This window comes from Homo sapiens, chromosome 15 (assembly GCF_000001405.40).
Source record: "Homo sapiens chromosome 15, GRCh38.p14 Primary Assembly".
Taxonomy (NCBI): Eukaryota; Metazoa; Chordata; class Mammalia; order Primates; family Hominidae; genus Homo; species Homo sapiens.
In genome coordinates, this window is record NC_000015.10 from 76,801,171 (window position 1) to 76,823,668 (window position 22,498).

The window sequence follows — 22,498 nt, forward strand, 5'->3', positions numbered from 1 at the left end:
ACATGTTGGTATCTTTCCTTCATTTTTTCCACTGGGATTTGCACCATTTTCTGATTAATTTGAAATAGTTTACTACTACTCTTATGGCTACAAATCCATTGGCATTGGTGATACAACTATTTTGCCTTTAGTTTTTCCTTTTTAGTTGGAAACATTTGTTCTCTTCCTATTTAATCAGTGTATCAATATTTTTCTTTGTGGTGTCTGCCTGTGTCTTACAAAGTCCTCACACGCAAAACAAATATATAAATATTTACCTATATTTTCTTCTTTAAACATATACAACTTCAGTTTTTACATTTAAATCTCCAGGCTAGCCAAAATAAATTTTGATGCATGATTTGAAGAATGCAAGATGGATAATGCCATCTATAGAGCACTTTAAGACTGCTTTCCATATATAAGTGCTGTCTCATGAGGCAAAGAAGAGAAATGCTGATAACTGGCAAAAGTAAAAGGGATGCCTCAGCCAGGCATGGTGGCCCATTCCTGTAATCCCAGCACTTTGGGAGGCCAAGGAGGGCAGATCACTCGAGGTCAGGAGTTCGAGATCAGCCTAGCCAACATGGTGAAGCCCTATGTCTACTAAAAATACAAAAATTAGCTGGGCGTGGTGGCGGGTGCCTGTAATCCCAGCTACTTGGGAAGCTGAGGCTTAAAAGTGGAAGGTGGAGGTTGCAGCGAGCCAAGATGGCACCACTGCACTCCAGCCTGGGTTAAAGAGTAAGACTCTGTCTCCAAGGAAAAAAAAAAAAGGGATGCCTCAGGTATATTTTTGAACCACAGTGCCAAGAGAGGAATGGTAACCACTCTGTTAAGCTTGGGTTTGGCTTATGTAACTTTTCCAATACAATCCTCAACACAGCCACCAATAGGTAACTGAATTTTGCAAGCACAAAAAAAAAAATTTTTTTTTAATGCATTGGTGATTACATTACAGACCTTTGGATACAACAAACAAACTCAATCAAGTTAAATAAAAAAATGAAAAGAAAAAGAAAATAAAGATTTATTGTAAGGATATAAACTGTACAAGGTCAAAGACATCCAAAAGTTGGGGGAGACTAGAATCAGGGCTCATGAGGATTAGACCCGGTATAGGCTCTCAAAGGCCACATAATTTCTGTTTCTCTCTGTAAATCTATTCCCTTTTTTTTCCCAACCTATTTTACTCTGCTTATTGTCACAAAGACAATACAGCCACAAGTCCCAAATCAGCATGATGATCTCTTAGCTTGGTTCAACCCAGTGAAAGAATGAAACCCCAGATCCAATCACCTATTACCAACGTAAGGGTAAAATTGCTTAGTACAAACAAAGACATTTAGGCCTGACCCACCCAGGGACTGTGGATGAAGTAGGCACTGAAAAACCATCAAAAATTTTACTGTGAGAAACAAAAATGTTAAAAGGATCAACCTATCTTAGTTTCCCTAGATTTGGTTTCCCGGGAATCCAGCCCTTCTGGATTTCTCCCTTGGAATTCCTTTACCCTACTGGTTCTGACTGCCTGTAGGGCTGACACATCAGGATGAGATAAAAGATGCCTTTTTTACTGGATAGTTTCACCCACTAAGATTGAACCAAGATTAAATCCAAAGCAAAGAGGCAGGATAGGCCTATTTGCTTGGCAGGAGGCGGGGGGAAGCAGCCTTGTAGCTCCATATGACTTGGCAAGTTTACCAGAGTTTAGGAATTACTTAGATGTCTAAACTAAACTGCTCTTTTGCCTTTGTACAGAACCAAAATAATACTAAGTCCATTTGATTATCTATTTCTAGAGTATCTAATTCTCCCTACTGTTACTACCTTAATCTGAGTAGCCATCATCTCTAAACTACATTGCTATATGTCAACCTTCCCACATGGCAGCCAAAATGATCTTTTAAAAACATAAATCTGATATGTCACTTCCCTACTTTAAAACCCTTTATTGGCTCAAAGTCAAATCTAAATCCCTTATTATTTCTACTGAGCTCTACACAATGTGGTCCTAGCCTAGCTCTCTAGGCTCATCTCATGCTACTCTCCCCTTGTTCTTTTCACTCCTGCCCTACTAAATTCCTTGATTACACTGTGCTCCCTTTCACTTCAAAGATATCACACATGCTGTTAGCATTATCTCGAATTACTCTTTTCTCTTTGTCTAACTCCTACTTAACAATTCTGTCTCAATTTAAATGTCACCTCCTCAGGAAGCCTTCCTAGACTTAGCAAACTGGTTAAGAGTGTTTTTTCTTATACTGACAGAGAAAGCTGTATTTCTTCTTGATGACACTTGGCACATTTATACTTACTTAACATCAGTCTTTCCTGTTAGAAATGCACTTAGTCCATTCAGGCTGCTACAACAAAATACCTTATGACTGGGTAATTTATAAACAACAATAAGAAATTTATTTCTCATAGTTCTGGATGCTGGGAAGTACAAAATCAAGGTGCCAGCAGATTCAACGTCTGATATGAGCCCTGTTCCTTATAAAGATCATCTTTCAGCTGTGTCTTCACATGGTGGAGGGGTAACAGCTCCCACTTCTTTTATATGTCACTAATCCCACTCATAAGGGCTCCACCTTCCCAACTTAACTACCTCCTAAAGCCCCCACCTCTTAATACTATCACATTGGTGATTAAATTTCAACATATGAATTTTGGGAAGGCACATTCAGGCCACAGCATGTACTATGTACTTCATGAAGGCAGGGACTGCATCTGTCCTCTTGACCACAACAGTCACAGAGCTTGGCACACAGCATTCAGATACTCTGTGGTGATTCCAAATGAATCCTTCTAAAGGAGCTTTGATCTCGTATTATTCCCCTAATCAAAAATCATCAATTTTCCTCATTGCCTAATACATTAAGAAGAAATACTGTATCTTTCCCTACTACTTTGACTTCACACATGTCCTACACTTACATAGCTGTTTAAATTTATTCCCTTCACCGAAATGGCCAACCAGCTGGTAAAATCCATCCCATCCATGAAACACTTCTTCCGCATCCTCCTGAAATCTTCCCTGATCTATCCTCCAAAAGAGATTTGTCCTTATCTGAAGAACCGTAATAGTTTTTTGTACTAAGTTCTATTTTTATCACACTCAGTCTATAAATTCCATGAGTGGTAAATGTGTCACATTCAAAAATTAAATCTCTGTACTGAATAAAGTGATAATACCCAATTAATACCCACTGATAATTACCCAATAAATATTTGTTATTTAATTGAATGAGAAATGCAGCACCTGACTTTTAGATTTTTACAAGTTTCAACTCAATATGAGGTTAAGTTTATTGTCCGTTTCAGTGATTGCTATTGAAACTGCTGGATGATAGGAAGATTGAGACCAGAGAGCTCATTACCTGCTTTGAGCATCTGTCTTCTCTAGCTTTTCCTGAAGCTGAATCCAGTCAATCAATGCTTTGAAATCTCTTACATAGTTATCCAGCATCATTAGCACCTCCTAAAAGAAACAAAACAAAAAAAAATTAAATTCCAGTCTGAGACTAAAAACTTTGAAGAAAAAAAAGAGTGAACAACTTAAGAATTAGTAGTTTTTACATTATACTCTTCAATGAAAAAGCTGCGTAAGTTACAGATTTTTTTTTTCATTCTGTTTGGTAAGATAATAAGAAATATAATAGGTTGAAAGTCTAAAGACCAAGAAATGATATTGATGTTCCTTCTCAAAACCTCCCCCAATAGCCATCCTTTCAACCTTTTTATTATGAATTTTAACATATAGAAAAGTACACTAAACATAAATCCAGCTGCACACTTGTAGTCCCAGTCACTCCAGAGGCTGAGGCAGGAGAATTGCTTAAGTCCAGGAGTTCAAGACCAACCTGGGCAAGATAATAAGATGCCATCTTTAAATAACAATATTATTAAAAATTAACAATGTTTTTCAAGGTTCAACCACCTGGTAGCGTGTATCAGTACTTCATTTCTTTTTATGGCTGAATGACTGCATGAATATAGTATATTTGTTTATTCATTTATCATTTGATAAATATTTGGGTTGTTTCTACTGTTTATTATGAATACTGCTGCTATAAAACTTTGTATCCAGGTTTTTCTGTGAACATGTTTTCAATTCTCTTGGGTATATACTTAGAAGTGGATTTGCTGAGTCATATGATAACTCTAAGTTTAAAGTTAACTACCAAACTTTTCTCCACAGCTGCTGCATCATTTTACATTCCCAGCAGCAATTTATGAGAGTTCCATATTCTTCACATCTTTGCCAAAACTTGCTGCTTTCTGACTTTTTTATCCTAGTCATCCTAAATGAGTGTGAAGTGCTATCATTGGGGGTTATGTGCATTTCTCCGATGACTAATAACTTTGTGCCTCTTTTCATGTACATTAGACATTTGTTTACCTTTTTTTTTTTTTTTTTTTTTGGAGACGGAGTCTCGCTCTGTCACCCAGGCTGGAGTGCAGTGGCGTGATCTCAGCATCGCGGCTCACTGCAACCTCCACCTCCCAGGTTCAAACGATTCTCCTGCCTCAGCCTCCCAAGTAGCTGGGATTACAGGCACGTGCCACCATGCCCAGCTAATTTTTTCTGTTTTTAGTAGAGACGGGGTTTCACTGTGTTAGCCAGGATGGTCTCAATCTCCTGACCTCGTGATCCACCTGCTTCGGCCTCCCAAAGTGCTGGGATTACAGGTGTGATCCACCGTGCCCAGCCGACATTTGTATATCTTAAAAGAAATGTCTATTCAAATCCTTTGCCCTTTTTTACTGAGTTATTTGTCCTTTTTATTGTTGAGCTATAAAGTTCTTTATATATTCTAGGTATTAGACCTTCATCAACCATATGGCTGACAAACATCTTGTCCCATTATGTGGGTGATTTTTCCATTTGATAGTATCCTTTGACACACACAAGTTTTTAATTTTGATAAAGTTCAATTTATTTTTTCTCTGGCTTTGGGTGTCATAGTCCAAGGTCACAAAGATGTATATGTTTTCTTCAAAGAGTGTTATACTTTCAGCTCTTACATTTAGGCTTTAAACTGTATTCAGTTAATATCTGTATACAGTGTGAGGTAAAAATCCAAATTCATTTGTTGCACACAGATATCCTGGTGTCCTAACACCACTGTTGAAAATACTATTCTTTCCCTCATTAAATGGTTCTGGCACTCATGTCAAAAATCAAATTCATACATAGACGTATGAATTTATTCCAAGGATTTCAAATCTATTTCATTGATCCATATATCTATCCTACTGCCAGTACCACAGAATTTGATTATTGTGGTTTTGTACTAAGTTTTAAATTCAGGGGGTCTAGGTCCTCAAACGTTGTTCTTTTTCAGGATTGTCTTGGCTATTCTACATACTTTGCATCCCCATATGAATTTAAGATCCACTTGTCCATTTCTGCCAAAAAGGGGGAAGGGAGCAATTGGAATGTTCATAGGTATTGCATTGAATCTGGGTATCACTTTGGGAAATACAGCCATCTTAACACTATGAAGTCTTCTGTTCATGAATTCTGAATATCTTTTCCTTTAATTAGGTTTCTCTTATTTCTTACAATGATTTTTCGTAGTTTCTTTCAATTATATTTTATAGTTTGTGTGTACATCTTACACTACTTTAAATTTATGCCTAAATATTTTATTGTTTTTGATGTTATTTTAATGTAACTGCTTTCTTAATTTCATTTTTGGATTGTTTACTCCTAGTGTATAAAAATACAACTGATTTTTGAGTGTCCATCTTGTATCCTATAATCTTGCTAAACTTGTTTATTAGCTCTAATAATTGGGGGGCAGGTGTCTTTAAGGGTTCTTTATATATAGAATCATGTCATCTGCAAGTACAGTTTTACTTCTTCCTTTCCATCTAGATGTTTTCTATTATGTTTTCTTGTCTAATTGCCCTGGCTAGAACCTTTAGTACAATATTGTGTGTAAGTGGCAAGAAAAGACATCACTCTCTTGTTCCTGATCTTACCCAACGGGAAAGCTTTCAGTCTTTCACCATTAAGCATGACATTAACTGTGGATTTTTCATAGATACTCTTTATCAGGTTAAGGAATTTCCCTATTGAATGTTTTTATCATGAAATGGTATTGGCTTTTGTCAAATGCCTTTTCTGCACCAACTGAGATAATCTGTGATCTTTTTCCATTCATTCTATTAATACATTCTATTATGTTTATTGATTTTCATATGCTCAACCACTCTTACCTTCCTGGACTAAATCCCACTGGGTCATGATGTTATAGACCTTTTTATGTGCTGCTAGATTTGGTTTGCTATTACTCTGTTGAGAATTTTTATGTCTGTATTTGTAAAAAATATTGCTTAACTAACATTATTTATTTTTTTTATTTTTTATTTTTTACTTTTTTTATTATACTTTAAGTTTTAGGGTACATGTGCACATTGTGCAGGTTAGTTACATATGTATACATGTGCCATGCTGGTGCACTGCACCCACTAACTCGTCATCTAGCATTAGGTATATCTCCCAATGCTATCCCTCCCCCCTCCCCCCACCCCATAACAGTCCCCAGAATGTGATATTAACTAACATTAATTTTAACTTCAATGTTTAGAAGAATTCACTCGAAAAATCGCTAAAGTTGGGAATTATTTGGGTGATGGATATTTTTAATTATAAACTCAGTTGCCAGTTATAAAGCTATGTAGGTTTTCAATTTCTTATGTCCGTTTTTATTGTTTTCCTAAGAATTAATACTTTTTGTGTAAATTTTCATTTTACAAAAGGAATCCCAGTTCTCCCACTACATGTGGTCCAACTTCACAAATAGCGTCCCAACTTCTATGATTCCCAACAGAATTTTAGATACCTACATCACCTAGCTGACAGCAGAAGGGACTCAGTATTCTGAGTCTCCTGGGATCCCAGAGAATAAAGAGGTGATTTTCAACAGGTGTGTGAGCACTTCCAGCAGCTAACCTCCTGGGCACAGGAAAGAGAAAAAGGGCCAAAACTACTAGCCCCCAGTTTCTCCACAGAAAGGGTTTGTCTGCATACTTTTCCAGCTGCAGCCTGAGGGTTTGGGCTTATAACTAGCCTGCATCCGGAAGCCAGTGGAGCAGGTAAACAACAGACCTCCAGAAGCCTCAAGGGGCTTATGGGTACCTGCTGCCCCTTTTCCCCTTGCCTTGCTCCAGCAATAAAACTAGGTTTGCAGATTTTCCCTGAAAGGAGTTTACATGTACATGGCATGCCCCAATTTTCACAGCTCCCACCCAAAGGACTGGCTCCTAAATCACCTAGCCCTGGGAGTTGATGAGGCTCTGCATCTGTGAATCTCGCTAAACTATAAAGAGCAAAGAGCTGCTTTTTAAACAGGTAGGGCTCCAGCAGATCTCCTCCCAAGGTCAGCGCTGAGCTAAAAAGCACAAACTCCCGACTCCCAATTTCTCCCTCAAGGAAACTGACTACACACCTAATGTCCTGACTTCTCCAGCTGCTACCTGAAACTGCAGGAAATTAGCAGTCTTCTGGGACCATAAATGTGCATGTGGGGACTATCCACAACTTCACCTGCTGGCATGCTCCAGAGATAAAGTGAAGTCTCCAGTTAACCTGCCTATCTCCAAGAGCATATAGATTACGCATCTGCCAGGCCCCTGGGAGCAACAAAGTACAAAGCAATGGGTCAAAAGACTGTGCAGTCTGAACAAGAATATGGCATCACTGCAGATCCTCTCCCCAGCTTAATGTAAAGAAAATGAGAGAAAAATTCCAGCTCCTAGCTTCTCCCTGAGAAATAAGAAACTGGAACACATATTTAATACCTCAACTTTTCCAGCTGGATCTTGAGAGATGGGTTTCTAACTTGCTTGTCTCAGGATACTAACAGGACTTGGCATACCCTAATCTGGGGACCACTAAGAACAAAGACTGCAGTTTAGATCAGCACAAAGGTTTGAGGGGCACCTAGAATAACTAGCTGAGCTGACAGGTAAGATCCATCTCCTACAGAAGGCCAGTATGACAAGACTAGGAAAGGCAGTTGCCTCACCTAATGCACAGAAACAAACACTAAGGGTCAAAGAAAATGAAGAAACAGGTATACAAGTTCCAAATAAAAGAGCAAGATAAACCTCCAGAAACTGATCCTAATGAACTGCCAATATGTGACTTATCACATAGAGAATTCAAAAGAACAGTCATAAAGAAGTTCGCCAAGGTCAGAAGGAGTAATGCATAAAACTAGCTAAAAATTTCTGCCAAGAGACAGAAAATACAAAAAGTACCAAACAGAGATCATATAGCTGAAGAATATAATACTCAACTAAAAATTTTAATATAGGGGTTAAACAGCAGACTAGATTAAGCAGAAAAAGGATCAGGAACTCTAAGACAGGTCATCAGAAATCATTTAAGATGAGGAATAAAAGGAAAAAATGACAAAGAGTAAAGAAAGCTAAAGGGACTTACAGAGCAGCATGAAGCAGAAGTAAATATGCATTATTGGAGTTAGAAAAGAAGAAGAGAAAGTGACAGAAGGCTTATTCAAAGAAATGATGGCTGAAAACTTCCCAAACCTGGGTGAGGAACTAGAAATCAAAATCAAAATCCAGAAAGCCCAAATAACTAGACGAATCCAGAGATATCTACACTGAGACACATTATAATCAAATTGTCAAAAGTTAAAGACAAAGACAGACTTATGAAGACAGTAAAACAAAAGTTACTTATTACACACACAGGGGCCCCCATAACACTATCAGTAGATTTTTTAGCAGAACTTTGCAACCCATAAAGGCTGAAGTGATAAATTCAAAGTACTGAACGAAAAAGAAAGTGTCAGCCAAGAAAATTATACCCAGAAAATCTGGCCTTCAAAAATTAATTAGTGATAAAGACTTCCAAAGACAAACAAAAGCTGACGGAGTTAATCACTACTATACTTGATTTACAAGAAAAGCTAAAAAAGTTGTTCACATTGAAACAAAAATAAACTAAATAGCAACATGAAAGCATAAGTAAGCAATTCATTGGAAAACAAAATATATAAAGAATAAAAGAACATTTTATGACTATAACAGTGGTGGGCATATCAATTATAATCCTATTATAAAAGATAAGAGATAAAAGTATTAAAAACAATTATAACTAAATTTAAATTATGTTAATGGGCACAATATAAATAATTATAAATTGTGACATCAATACTATTTATAATGTGGGAGCAAGAGACATAAAAGGAGAGACTTCTTGAATGCAAGGGAAGTCAAGGTGTTATCAGCTTAAAATAGATCATTATAACAATAAAATATTTTACATAAGCACCCTGGTAACCACAAAGAAAATGCCTAAACAAATTACACAAAAGAAAGAGGAAGGAATCAAAATCTAGCAATACAAAAAAAAAAAACCACACACACACACACACACACACACAAAAGAAGAGAGCAAGTGAGAAAAACAAGGACAAAAATATCATAAGACAAACACAAAACAGTTAATTAAAAGGTAGTAATAAATCCTTATCAATAATTATTTTAAATGTAAACAAACTAAACTCCCTGATAAAAAATACAGTGTGACTAAATTATTTGGGGTTAAATAATGGTCAAAAATAATGGTTAAAAAACAAACTATATGCTAGCTACAAGAACCCCCTTAAGATTCAAGAACACAAAGAGACAAAGTGAAAAGATGGAAAAAGATATTGTAAGCAAATGGAAACCAAAAGAAAGTAGAAATGACTAAATTATCAAAGTAGAATGTAAGGAAAAAACTGTCTCCAGAGAAATGAAGGTCCTTACGTAACAATAAAAGGATCAATTCAACAGGAAGACACAACAATTTTAAGTATATTTGCACCTAACATCAAAGCACTTAAAATAATAAAGCAAATACTGATGGATCTGAAAGAAGAAATTGACTGCAATTCAATAATAGAAGACTGCAATGTCTCACTTTCAATAATAGATAGAATTTACAAAAAAAAAAAAAAAGACAACGAAACAATACAAACCAAATAAACTTAACAAACATAGAATTAGCAGGAAAATACACATTTTTCTCAAGTGCACACATATTTTTCAGGGCAGATCACAAAACAAGTTAGGTCTCAAAAAAGTCTTAACAAATTAAAATCATACCAAGTATGTTTTCCAACCGCAATTGAATGAAACTAGAAATCAGTAATAGCAAGAACAAAAAAAAGGCAGTGAGGAGTCACAGAAACATGGAAATTAAATGAGACACTCTTGAACCAATGGGGCAAAGAAGAAACCAAAAGAAAAGTTTTAAAATATCTTGAGACAAATAAAAAGAGAACTTACAAAAATATGTGATGCAGCAAAGCAGTATAAAAAGGAGGTTTGGGCCAGGCGCGGTGGCTCATGCCTGTAATCCCAGCAGTTTGGGAGGCCAAGGCTGGTGGATCACCTGAAGTCGGGAGTTCAAGACCAGCCTGATCAACATGGAGAAACCCCTCACTACTAAAAATACAAAATTAGTTGGGGTGCTGGCACATGCCTGTAATCCCAGCTACTCAGGAGGCTGAGGCAGGAGAATCGCTTGAACCCAGGAGGTGGAGGTTGCGGTGAGCTGAGATCACGCCATTGCACTCCAGCCTGGGCAACAAGAGTGAAACTCTGCCTCAAAAAATAAAAAATAAAAAAATAAAAAAAATAAAATAAAAAAGGGAAAACAAAACAAAACAAAAAAGTAAAAAGGAGGCTTGTAGCTATAAATACCTATATTGAAGAAGAAATATCTCAAATAAACAACCTAACTTTACAACTCAAGAAACTAGGAAAAAAACAAACTAAACCCAAAGTTAGCAGAAGGAAGAAAATAATAAAGATAACAATAGAAATAAATCAAATATAGAAAAACATCAATAGCCGGGCATGGTGGCTCATTCCTGTAATCCTAACACTTTGGGAGGCCGAGGCAGGCAGATCACTTGAGGTCAGGAGTTCGAGACCAACCTGACCAGTATGGTGAAACCCTGTCTCTATTAAAAACACAAAACTTAGCCAGGTGTGGTGGCAGGTACCTGTAATCCCAGCTACTCAGGAGGCTGAGGTGGGCGAATCATTTGAATCTGGGAGGCAGAAGTTGCAGTGAGCCAAGATTGTGCCACTGCACCCCAGCCTGGGTGACAAAGCGAGACTCCGTCTCAAGAAAAAAAAAACAAAAAACAAAAATTAGCTGGACATGGTGGCATGCGCCTGTAATTCCAGCTATTTGGGAGGCTGAGCACAAAAATCACTTGAACCTGGGAGGCAGAGGGTGCAGTGAGCCACGACTATGCAACTGCACTCCAGCCTGGGTGACGGAGTGAGACTCTGAAAAAAAAAAAAAAAAAGAAAGAAAGAAAGAAAGACAGACATCAATAAAACAAAGAGTTGGTTGTATTTTTTAAAATGGCAAAACCTTAGGGTGAAAAAAAGAGATGACTCATCGGAAACATAAAGAGGGACAATACAACAGACGCCTTGAAAATATAAAAGATCATAAAAGTTGATTATGAACAATTATATACCAATACATATATAACCTAAGGAAACAGTATGTTCCTAGAAACATACAACATGCCAAAGCTGAATTAAGAAGAAACAGAAAGCCTAAACATGCCAGTAACAAAATGACTGAAATAGTATCAAAAACTTCCCAATGAAGAAAAGTCCAAAACCAGATATCTTCAGAGCCGAATTCTACCAAACATTCAAAAAAATTAGTATAAATCCTTCTTAAATACTTCCAGAAAAAAAAAAATAGTAAAGGGAAGAGTTTCAATTTCATACATGAGATCAATTTCATCCTGATATCAAAGTCAGAAAAAGATAACACAAAAAATGATGAATATACACACAAAAATGCTCAATACTAGGGAACCAAATTCAACAATACATCAAAAAGATAATATACCATAACCAAGTGAGATGAATCCCTGAGCTGCAAGGATGGTTCAATACATGCAAATCAATCAATGAGATACAACACATTAGCACAATGATAGGCAAGAAAGCATATAATCATCTCAACAGACACAGAAAAAGCATCTGGCAGACAGAGTTCAATATCCTTTCACTAAAAAAAAAAAAAAAAAAAAAAAAAAAACAACTCAACAAAATAGGTATAGAAGGAAATTTCCTCAATATAGTAGAAGTCATGTATGAAAAACGAACAGCTAACATCATAATCAACAGTGATCAATATCAACATAATAACACTTTTCATCTAAGATCTAGTACCAGGCAAGGATGCCCACTCTGGCCACTTCTAGTCAATGTAGTACTGAAAGTACTAGCAAGAGCAATCGGACCAAAAAAAAAAGAGAAAGAAACAAAAGGCATTCAAATCAGAAATAATGAAGTAAAATTATCCATGGTTGCATTTGAATTGATTCTATATGCAGGAAAATGCTACAGGTGTCACATACACACAAAAAAAGGTCAGAACTTCTAAATGAAAAGTAGCAGGATACAAAAATCAACATTCAAAAAATCTGTTGAACTTCTTTGCATCAATAACAATCTATGTTAAAAAGAAATTTTCAAAATCCTATTTATAATAGCACCAAAAGAATCAAATACTTAGGAATAAATATAATATAACCAAGGAAGTGCAAGATCTGTACACTGAAAACTATAAAACATTGATTAAAGAAACTGAAGCAGATGCAAATAAACAGAAAGCTATTCCATGTTTATGGGTTGTAAAAATTAATACTGTTAAAACATTCATACAGGCTGGGTGCAGTCGCTCACACCCGTAATCCTAGCACTTTGGGAGGCCAAGGTGGGCAGATTACTTGAGGTCAGGGGTTCGAGATCCGCCTGGCCAACATGGTGAAACCCCGTCTCTACTAAAATTACAAAAATTAGCTGGGCATGGTGGCAGGTGCCTATAATCCCACATACCCGGGAGGCTGAGGCAGAAGAATTGTTTGAACCCGGGAGGCAGAGGCTGCTGTGAGCCGAGATTACGCCACCGCGCTCCAGCCTGGGCGTCAAAGCGAGACTCCATCTCAAAAAAAAAAATTCATACTATCCAAAGTGACATGCTCAATGCAATCACTACCAAATTGTACTGGCATTTTTCACAGAAATAGAAAAAACAATGCTAAAATTTGTATGGAACTACAAAAAACTTTAAATAGCCAAAACAATGTGGAGAGAGAAAAATTAAATTGGAGGCATCACATTTCCTGACTGTAGATTACACTACAAATCAACAGTAATCTAAACTGTAATGACAGGCATACAGACAGACATGAAGACCAACAGAACAACGAAATGTAACAGAAAGCCCAGAAATAAACTCAAGCATATGTGGTCAACTAATTTTCAACAAGACCACCAAAAAAACACAATGAGAAAAGGATAAACTCTTCAATAGTGTTGGGAAAACTGAATAACCACATGTAAAAGAAGGAACTAGACCCTTATCTTACACCATACGCAAAAATAAACTCAAAATGCATTAAAGATGTAAACATGAGACCTGAAACTATAAAACTTCTAGAAGAAAACAAAAGGAAAAGTTCCTTAATAGTGACCTCAAGCAATAATTTTTTTGGTATCACACCAAAAATTCATGCAACAAAAGCGAAAATATCCAAGTGAGACTACATCAAAATAAAAACTTTCCTACAAATAAAAAGAAGACATTTAACAGAATGAAAAAGCAGGCTACAGACTGAGAAAAATATTTGGAAACTCTGTATATGATAAGGGGTTAATATCCAAACTATATAAGGAACTCACACAATTCAATAACAGGAAACAAATAACAGATTTAAAAATGGGCAAAGAATCTGAAGAAGTTTTTTTCCAAAGAAAACATAAAAATGGCTAATAAGCATAAGAAAAAGTGCTCAACATCAGTAATCATCATGGAAATGCAAATTAAAACAAAAAAAAAATCACCTCACATCTGTTAGAAGAGCTATTATCAAAAAGATAAGAGATAATAACAACTGTTGGCCAGGGTGTGAAGAAAACCCTTGTACACTATTTGTGGAAATGTAAACTGGTATAACCATTATGGAAAACAGTATGAAAGTTTCTCAAAAAATTAAAAATACAACTACCATATGACCCAAAAATCCCTCTTCTGAGTAGATAGCCAAAGAAAATGAAATCAGCACCTCATGGAGACATCTGCACTCCTATGTTTATTTGCAGCATTATTCACAATAGCCAAGATATGGAAACAACCTTAAGTGTCCATCAATGGATAAATGGGTAAAGAAATTGTGGTGTATATATACACACACATACATACAGTCAAGCATCACTTAACAACAGAGATATACTGAGAAATGCATTGTTAGGCAATTTCATCATTGTGCGACCATCAGAGTGTACTTACAAAAACCTGGATGGTACAGCCTACTACACACCTACGTTATATGGCATGGCCTATTGCTCCTAGGCTACAAACCTGTATGGCAGGAACCTGACCCGCACAACAGGAGGTGAGCAGTGGGCCAGTAAACATTACCACCTGAGCTCCACCTCCTGTCAGATCAGGAGCAGCATTAGATTCTCATAGGAGCACAAACCCTATTGTGAGCGGCACATGTGAAGGATCTAGGTTGAGTGCTCCTTAGGACAGTCTAATGCCTGATCATCTGAGGTGGAACAGTTTCATCCTGAAACTACCCCTGCCACACCGACCCCAGTCCGTTGAAACATTGTCTTCCACAAAAACAGTCCCTGGTGCCAAAAAGGTTGAGGACTACTGCTGTATAGCATGTTACTATACTGAATACTACAGGCCAAGAGTAACACAATGTTAAGTATCTGTGCATCTAAACACAGAAAATCTACAGTAAAAATACGTTGCAAAATATTTTTAAAATGATAAACCTGTAGCATTTACCATGAATGGAGTTTACAGGACTGAAAGTTGCTCTGGGTAAGGGAGGGTGAGGGAGGGAGTAAAGGAGAGAATGGTAAGTGAAGGCCTAGGACATTAGTGTATGCTGCTGAGACTTTATAAACTACATATTTAGACTACACAAAATCCATACAAAAATTTTCTGTCTTCCTAATAAATTAACCTTAGCTTACTACAATCTTTTTACTTTATAAACCTTTTAGTATTTTTTAAACTCTGACATTTGTAGTAACACTTAGCTTAAAACACAAACACATTGTACAATTGTACAAAATTATCTTTATAACCTCATTCTATAAGCTTTTTCCTATCTAACATTTTTTTTCCTTTTTAACTTTTGTTAAAAATGAAGACACGAACACACACATTAGCCTAGGCCTACCCAGGATCAGGATCTTCCACCTCCACATATTGTCCCACTGCAAGGTCTTCAAGAGCAAGAAAATAACATGTATGGGAGCTATCATCTCCTGATGACAATGCTTTATCCTGGAATACCACCTAAGGACCTGCCAAAGGCTGTTTTACAGTTAGCTTTCTTTTTGTTAAGCAGAAGGAATACATTCTAAAATAACAATAAATAGTATAAAAATACATAAGCCAGTAACATAATTTTTTTTTTTTTTTTGAGATGGAGTCTCGCTCTGTTGCCCAGGCTGGAGTGCAGTGGCGCTATCTCGGCTCACTGCAAGCTCCACCTCCCAGGTTCACACCAGTCTCCTGCCTCAGCCTCCCGAGTAGCTGGGACTACAGGCGCCCGCCACAATGCCCAGCTAATTTTTTTTGTATTTTTGTATTTTTAGTACAGACGGTGTTAGCCAGGATGGTCTCGATCTCCTGACCTTGTGATCCACCCGCCTTGGCCTCCCAAAGTGCTGGGATTACAGGCGTGAGCCACCGTGCCTGGCTGCCAGTAACATAATTTATTATCATCATCATCAAGTACTGTGTACTGTACACAACTGTATGCACTATACTTCCATGCAACTGGTAGCACCATAGGCTTGTTTCTATCAGCATCATCACAAACACTGAGTAATATATTGTGCTACAACATTATGACAGCTATGACATCACTAGGTGACAAGAATCTTTCTGGTCCATTATAATCTTATGAACCACCATTGTAGGTCAGCTGTTGATTGAAACACTGTTATGCAGCACATGACTGTACAATGAAATATTATTCCACCTTTAAAAAGGAGATCCTGACATTTGCAACAATATGAATAAACCTCAAGGACATTGTGCTATGTGAAATAAGCCAGACCTACAAAGAAAAATAGTGTATGATCTCATTTATATATATATAATCTAAACAAAGTCGAATACGTAGAAAGAAAGGGACAATCAGTGGTTGGTTAACAAGGTCAGGGGGAGGAAGGAAATAGGGAGATGTAGATTAAAGGATACAAACTTCTAATTACGTAGGATGAACAGGTCTACAAATCTAATATACAGCATGAGGGCACTAGTTAATGATAACGTATTGTATACTAAAAATTCACTAAAAGAGTAGTTTTGTTACTCTTACCACACACACAAAAAGGTAACTATGTGAGGTGATAGGTTCATTTGCTAGACTGCAGTAATCATTTCACTACATATATGTATGTCAAAACATGTTATAAATCTCAAATATATATAACAAATATATATGTAAATAAACAGAATACCATTTACATTAACACCCCAAAATATGAAATACTTAGGTATAAAACTAACAAAATATGTATAAGATCTATATTAGGAAAACAACAAAACTCTGATAAAAAAAATTAGAAAACTAAGTAAATGGAAAGATAATCCATGGATAGGATGACTCAATATTGTCAAAATGTCAATCAGTTCTTTCAAACCTGATTTATAAATTCAATGCAATCTCAATCAAAATCCCAGCAAGTTAAGCTGATTCTAAAGTTTACAGCAGAAGCAAAAGACTCAGTAGAGCCAATACAATTTTGAAGAACAAAGCTGGTGGACTAACACTACCCAATGTCAAGAAATACTAAAAAGCTATAGTAATCAAGACAGGGTGGTACTAGGATAAAAGACCAACAGGTCAATGGAACAGAACAAAGAGCTCAGAAACAGACCCACATAAATATAATCAACTGATCTTTGACTAACGTACAAAGCCAATACAAGGGAACAAAGATTGTTTTTCAACACATGATGCTAGAATAAATGGGACATCACATGCAAAAACTAATGAATCTAGACACAGAACTTATAATCTTCACAAAAATTAACTCAAATTGGATCCTAGACCCAACTGTAAAATACAAAACTATACAACTCCTAAAGTATAACTTGCAGGGAAAAAACCTAGATGGTCTTGGATGCAACAATGAATTGTTAGATACAACACCAAAGGCACAGTCCATGAATGAAAAAATTGATAAGCTGGACCTCATTAAAATCAAAAACTTCTGCTCTGCAAAAAACAATATTGAGAGAATAAGACAAGCCACAGACAGGGAGAAAATATTTGCAAAAGACATACAAGAGACACTGTTATCCAAAACATACAAAAAACTCTTAAAACTCAACAATAAGGGGGGTGGAGCCAAGATGGCCAAATAGGAACAGCTCCAGTCTACAGCTCCCAGCGTGAGCGACGCAGAAGATGGGTGATTTCTGCATTTCCAACTGAGGTACCAGGTTCATCTCACTGGGGAGTGCCAGACAGTGGGTGCAGGACAGTGGGTGCAGCGCACCGTGCGTGAGCCAAAGCAGGGCAAGGCATTGCCTCACCAGGGAAGCCCAAGGGGTCAGGGAATTCCCTTTCCTAGTCAAAGAAAGGGGTGACAGACGGCACCTGGAAAATCGGGTCATCCCACGCTAATACTGTGCTTTTCCAACAGGCTTAACAAACGGCACACCAGGAGATTATATCCCGCACATGGCTCGGAGGGTCCTACGCCCACGGAGCCTCCCTCATTGCTAGCACAGCAGTCGGAGATCAAACTGCAAGGCGGCAGCGAGGCAGGGGGAGGAGCACCCACCATTGCCAAGACTTGAGTAGGTAAACAAAGCGGCCAGGAAGCTCGAACTGGGTGGAGCCCACCACTGCTCAAGGAGGCCTGCCTGCCTCTGTGGGCTCCACATCTGGGGGCAGGGCACAGACAAACAAAAAGCAGCAGTAGCCTCTGCAGACTTTAATGTCCCTCTCTGACAGCTTTGAAGACAGTAGTGGTTCTCCCAGCATGCAGCTTGAGATCTGAGAACAGGCAGACTGCCTCCTCAAGTGGGTCCCTGATCCCCAAGTAGCCTAACTGGGAGCCACCCCCCAGTAGGGGCAGACTGACACCTCACATGGCTGGGTACTCCTCTGAGACAAAACTTCCAGAGGAACGATCAGGCAGCAGCATTTGCAGTTCACCAATATCCTCTGTTCTGCAGCCACTGCTGCTGATACCCAGGCAAACAGGGTCTGGAATGGACCTCCAGCAAACTCCAACAGACCTGCAGCTGAGGGTCCTGAATGTTAGAAGGAAAACTAACAAACAGAAAGGACATCCACATCAAAAACCCATCTGTACGTCATCATCATCAAAGACCAAAGGTAGATAAACCACAAAGATAGGGAAAAAACAGAGTAGAAAAACCGGAAACTCTAAAAATCAGAGCGCCTCTCCTCCTCCAAAGGAACGCAGCTCCTCACCAGCACAGAACAAAGCTGGACGGAGAATGACTTTGACCAGTTGAGAGAGGAAGGCTTTTGCACAGCAAAAGAAACCACCATCAGAGTGAACAGGCAACCTACAAAATGGGAGAAAATTTTTGCAAGCTACTCATCTGACAAAGAGCTAATATCCAGAATCTACAATGAACCCAAACAAATTTACAAGAAAAAAACAACCCCATCAAAAAGTGGGCAAAGGATATGAGCAGACATTTCTCAAAAGAAGACATTTATGCAGCCAAAAGACACATGAAAAAATGCTCATCATCACTGGACATCAGAGAAATGCAAATCAAAACCACAATGAGATACCATCTCACACCAGTTTGAATGGTGATCATTAAAAAGTCAGGAAACAACAGGTGCTGGAGAGGATGTGGAGAAATAGGAACACTTTTACACTGTTGGTGGGACGGTAAACTAGTTCAACCATTGTGGAAGTCGGTGTGGCGATTCCTCAGGGATCTAGAACTAGAAATACCATTTGACCCAGCCATCCCATTACTGGGTATATACCCAAAGGACTATAAATCATGCTGCTATAAAGACACATGCACATGTATGTTTATTGCGGCACTATTCACAATAGCAAAGACTTGGAACCAACCCAAATGTCCAACAAGGATAGACTGGATTAAGAAAATGTGGCACATATACACCATGGAATACTATGCAGCCACAAAAAATGATGAGTTCATATCCTTTGTAGGGACATGGATGAAGCTGGAAACCATCATTCTCAGCAAACTATCGCAAGGACAAAAAACCAAACACCACGTGTTCTCACTCATAGGTGGGAATTGAACAATGAGAACATAAGGACACAGGAAGGGGAACATCACACACTGGGGACTGTTGTGGGTTGGGGGGAGGGGGGAGGGATAGCATCAGGAGATACACCTAATGCTAAATGACAAGTTAATGGGTGCAGCACACCAACATGGCACATGTATACATATGTAACAAACCTGCACGTTGTGCACATGTACCCTAAAACTTAAAGTATAATAATAATAAAATTTTTTAAAAAAGAAAAAAAAAACTCAACAATAAGAAAAATAATTTGATTAAATAATAAGCCAAAGTCCTTAACAGACACTTCACCAAAGAAGATATACAAATGGAAAATAAACATATGAAAACATGCTCCACATCATAAGTCATCAGGGAAATGCAGATTAAAGTAACAATGAGATATTATTACACTCCTATTAGAATGACCAAAATCCAGAAAACTGACAACAGCAAATGCTGATGAGGATGTAGAGCAATGGGAACACTCATTTATTGCTAGTGGGAATGCATAATGGTACAGCTACTTTGGAAGACAGTGTGGCAGTTTCTTACAAAACTAAACGTTCTCTTACCATGTGATCCAGCAACTGCACTCCTAGTAAATACCCAAAGCCATTTAAAAACTTACATCCACACAAAAAGCTGCACACAGCTGTGTATAGCAGCTTTATTCATAATTGACAAAACTTGGAAGCCACCAAGACGTTCTTCAGTACATGAATGAATAAACAAACTGTGGTACATCCAGAAAATGAAATATTGCTCACGGCTAAGAAGAATGATCTATCAAAGTATTTTAAAATATGGCAGGGGCCAAGTAAGGTGGCTCACGCCTATAATCCCAGCACTTTGGGAGGCCAGGGCCGAGAAATCACTTGAGCGCAGGAGTTGGAGACAAGCCTGAGGAACATGGCAAAACTCCATCTCTACAAAAAAAATACAGAAAATTAGCCAGGCATAGTGGTGCGTGCCTGTAGTCCCAGCTACTAGAGAGGCTGAGGTTGGGGGGGATCACTTGAGCCTGGGAAGTTGAGGCTGCAGTGATCTCTGATCAAGCCACTACACTCCAGCCTGGGTGACAGGGCGAGACCTTCTCTCAAAACAAAACAAAACACCACAGTGGGGCCGGGCACGGTGGCTCACACCCGTAATCAAAGCACTTTGGGAGGCTGAGGTAGCAGGACTGCTTGAGCCCAGGAGCGAGACTTCATCCCTACTAAAAAATTTTTAAAAATTAGTCAGGCATGGTGACGCATGACTGTAGTCCCAGCTACTCAGGAGGCTGAGGTGGGAGAATTTCTTGAACCCAGGAATTTGAAGCCAGCTTGGGCAACACAGTAAGACCTCATCTCTAAAAAAAAAGGTAAGAAATAAAAGTAGAGGTTACATACTGTATGATTCCAACTATACAACATTCTGAAAAAAGCAAAACTAGAGAGAGTAAAAAGATCAGTGGCTGCTGGGGTTAGGGGTGGGGGACTGGGGAAGAATTAACAGGCAGAGCACAGGGGATTTTTAGGGCAATGAAACTACTCTGCATATTATTAAAATAGCAAATACATGTCATCATACATTGGTCCAAAATCATAGAACGTATAAGACCAAGAGCAAACATAAATGTAAACTATGGACTTGGGAATGATAATGATTTGTCAACACAGGCTCATCAATTGTAACAAATATACCACTCAGGTGTATGATATTGATAATGGAGGAGGCTATGCATGTATGGGGGCAGGGGTTATATGGAAAATCTCTACCTTCCTCTTAATTTTGTTGTGAACCTAAAATTGGTCTTAAAAAAATAAAGTCATAAAAAAAAGAAAGAAAAAGAAGGAAATATGTTTAAAAAAGTAAATGTTCAAAGTTTTACCAACATTTCTTAAGCAGCTAATACAAAGCTAAATAAATAAAGGCAACTCTGCACAACTTAAAACCAGTTTTCAATCATATGATGGGTTATCTGCCTTCTGTTACCAAATACAACATTTCCACTGACACTGAACTTCCAAAGATAAATTTTAAATTGTCTGGATCTGACAGAAAATCATATTCAAATCAGCTTAACTAGGACATATAGATCATCTGTGCCTACTGCACCATTCACAATGATTACCATTGCTGTCTTCTAATTGTCTCCTTTAAATAACCCAAAATTATATTATTGTGACAATACACTCTACACACTTGGCAAAGATAAATTTTTGGTACTGATCACTGATGCATCTAAATGGAAATTAAAATTTTATGGAAGAAAAGACTGTTAAAGCACAGGCCACTAAAATCTAATCACTCCACTCCTCAGGAAGAAGAAATTGATATCAAATGTGACTGTGTGTATGTATTACTACAACAGTCAAAGCTGTCATTTAATTGCATTTAAAAAACTTTAAAATGTATTTGCTTTACCAGTCTCATACCATTCTCACTTTGCCATAAAGATATACCAGTCTCACCTTACTATAAAGATAACTTCCCAATACTCTCATAAAATGACAATCAGAAAATGTCAAGCAGCTATAAAAATGATCATTTGTATTATAAATGCATTATTTTTCTATAGCTTAGTCTGATTTTGTATTATCAGTCACACTCAAAAACCTCAAAAATATTTTTCACTTATAAGTGTTTTTAAACATAGATATACTTTGGGCTGGGCGCTGTGGCTCATGCCTGTAATCCCAACACCTTGGGAGGCTGAGGTAGCTGGATCATGTGAGGTCAGGAGTTTGAGACCAGCCCGGCCAACATGGTGAAACTCCATCTCTACTAAAAATACAAAAAATGAGCCAAGCATGGTGGCAGGCCCCTGTAATCCCAGCTACTCGGGAGGCTAAGGCATGATTATTGCTTGAACTTGGGAGGCGGAGGTTCCAGTGAGCCCAGATCACACCACTGCACTCCAGCCTGGGCAACAAGAGCAAAACTCTGTCTCAAAATAAAATATAATAAAATAAATAAATTAAAATAAAAATACAATAAATAAAAATAAAATTAAATAAACAAACATACATATACTTTGGAACTCAGACCCAAGACTAATAATGAATATATGCCAAATTATTCACAAATGAAATACAGTACCACCCTTACCTTAGTCATAAAAGTTACATTCTACTTTAAAACAACCTTCTGAACAAAGA

The 22,498-nt window shown here is 37.7% G+C and overlaps 1 protein-coding gene across 28 annotated transcripts in view; it reads right to left on the reverse strand.

The window, feature by feature from the left end:
- SCAPER (S-phase cyclin A associated protein in the ER) overlaps nt 1-22,498 on the reverse strand; it is a 557,437-nt gene that overhangs the window by 453,267 nt on the left and 81,672 nt on the right. For all 28 annotated transcript variants that reach the window (NR_148227.2, XR_007064448.1, XM_017022273.2 and 25 more), the window contains one exon: nt 3,363-3,463. Coding sequence is in view for 25 of the 28 variants with exons in the window: in NM_020843.4 (NP_065894.2) it covers nt 3,363-3,463 (101 nt within the window). In the remaining 3 variants the exon portion in view is untranslated. The remainder of the gene's footprint in view (nt 1-3,362; nt 3,464-22,498) is intronic.